The 2,385-nt window shown below is 40.0% G+C and overlaps 1 annotated feature.

Moving 5' to 3' along the window:
- Positions 210 to 822: an enhancer, noted in NCBI's record as "OCT4-NANOG hESC enhancer chr9:3696328-3696940 (GRCh37/hg19 assembly coordinates)". NCBI's record gives its function as "activates a minimal SCP1, AML or CMV promoter by ChIP-STARR-seq in primed H9 embryonic stem cells {active_cell/tissue: H9 hESC(primed)}" and the evidence as "EXISTENCE:reporter gene assay evidence [ECO:0000049][PMID:30033119]".

Consider the following 2,385-nt stretch of genomic DNA (forward strand, 5'->3'; position numbering starts at 1 on the left):
TTAGAGACTAGATAAATCTGCATATGAGGGCCTGGCCCCTTTTTAGTACTTTTCAGCCTCGGATAGTGGTGGAAAACATGTGAATCCTAGTTCAAATTTCCTCTCACTCTTTGTAGGGTTGTGAGCCCATTATGTATTTTTTCTGTGCCTCATCTTTTCAACTCGAAAATGGGGACATAAGGTACACTTAGTCATGGAGTTATTAAGGAGATTAAAATAAATCCGTTAATATTAGTGAAGTGCCTGGAGTAAGCCTTCCCATAGCTCTATGTAAGCAGCTGTTAAAGTAAAAATTTTGAAGCCTTTATTATGTGAGAACTTAAACTTAAACCTCCTCCCATGTTAAGTAAGGACCAGGGAACTATTAAGCTTCCCCCTAAGGGAACCATTTACGACCACAGCCCTTTCTGGGTCAGGAAGGGCATGTTGATTTGAAAGTCCCCTAACGTGTTAATGGATGCTAACAAAAGACTTCCTATTCAGGAAGCAAAGGACACCTGGGGCTGACCACCCTCACTCTTCACTGATGTTTCCTGCTTTTGTTAAATATAAAGTAAATAAATCAAAATAAACAAAAAGAAAGCCAATAACAACAACTACCAAACATCAGTATATCCTTTTAGTTGCTATGGCTCCTTAAAGGACTGGAGAATTGTCTGGAAGCAAAATCAGTTGACTCCTAAACTCTTAAGAGATTTTATTGCTATTATGGTGCAGAAGAAGTGCTAAAGAGCCATATCACCTAGCTCAACAGCGTGGAAATTGGAAACGCTGTCTTGTAATGTCTGGATAGGGAAGACAAGAGTCTATGACCTGAAAGAGAGGGGGACAGAGAATATATTTCCATTTGCCAATTACAGACACATGTCCAGTGCAGATGATTGTCTTTATGTTTTCTAACTTGGACCATCAAACATCCTTTCATTCCACAGTCTTCCTCAGATTAGCATCTGGTGTCCTTGTTTTGCATCCTCTCTTCACCTTGCCTTGAGTCTTCAAAGCCAACTTTAAATGGACTGTTTTTCCTTAGCCTTCCCCTTAATCATAATAATTAAAAAGTCCATGAAATTATGGTTTTGATAACTTTTTTCTAAAAATCATACTAAAACAAATATATAACTATTTAATTTTTTAAAAGTTTGTCCACATCTCTCCTACAATCTCTTGAACTACCAGGGTTCTGATCTAAGAGAAGCTAGAATCTACAGATGTTAACACAACTCCATGGAGGCCTGAAGCAAGAAGCTTCATAGGGTGTGAAGGGGCAGGTGGGCCAGGCAGCAGGTGAAGGCCATGCTCTAGAAGTGAGATGCTGGGCAGGTCTCTCCTTTCTCCATGCATAAAGCAGATGGGGAAATGATGGGGTGAGAATTCACTTAGGGCTACGAATTGCTGGGAGGTGTTTTGGGTAGCAACGAAAAACAAGTAACAGCAACAAAGAAGGCTGGACAAAATCATGTATACTATCGAACTGAAATCTCAGCAGCAATAACTTGAGGACCCAGGAAACTGCCAAGTCCTCAAAAGCCTTGACTTTCAGAGCTCTTGCCGGAGTAGCAATAGGAGTGGTGGGAAATCAAGAAAGTCAGACATTCCAGAGTGTCCTAAAAAGAGTGTCATCAAAAGCATCTGAGCATGGGATCGATGCTGGGCTAAAGGACTACGGAATCCACAAGGAGCTGAAGGACGGGAGAAGCAGGAGGGCCTATGGGTCAGTATGGGCTGAGGAAGGTGTTCAGTGAGTATAGGTGTGTGAGAAGATCAAACAGACAAAGTAACAGACACACGCACACACAGAGCCATACAGAGACACACACCTTTCTTTCTAAGATTTTTTTTTAAGTCTATAGAACTTTGAATTGATTTGACATCCCCTCTTTAAATAAGAGGGGACATTCCCTCTTTTGATATAAGCTCTGAAATGCATAAGAAATTCCTTGTAAAAATTTACAGTCTTTTTGAATGGATGTTTTTTAATATTTTCAATTACAGATTTATGGCAGAATTTTTCATAGGCCTGAATTGTCTGTTTAATATTAAAATGATTTTTGTAGGGAGCCATCTGTTATATGATCAGGCATGGAAATTCTTTACAGGGCTTTCCATCAGCACTCCTCCAGTGTTTGTCATGCTTCAAATATCCCCAGGCACTTGTGTTTCCATTTAGAGGAGCAAGGTAAAGGACTCAGAGGCAGGACATGATGTCTCCTCGATTGTTCAGCAGCTGTTACTGAAAACACTGTGTTCGGCATATGTTTTTTCCCCAACCTAAGCTCAATGTTTTCCTTTACTATGACAAAACAATATCCTGAGAAAAAGGACAGTTTATTAATCTTTGAATCTCGTATCAGAACAAACTTTGCTCATTGCACTAATCAACTCACG

This window comes from Homo sapiens, chromosome 9, assembly GCF_000001405.40.
Source record: "Homo sapiens chromosome 9, GRCh38.p14 Primary Assembly".
Taxonomy (NCBI): domain Eukaryota; kingdom Metazoa; phylum Chordata; class Mammalia; order Primates; family Hominidae; genus Homo; species Homo sapiens.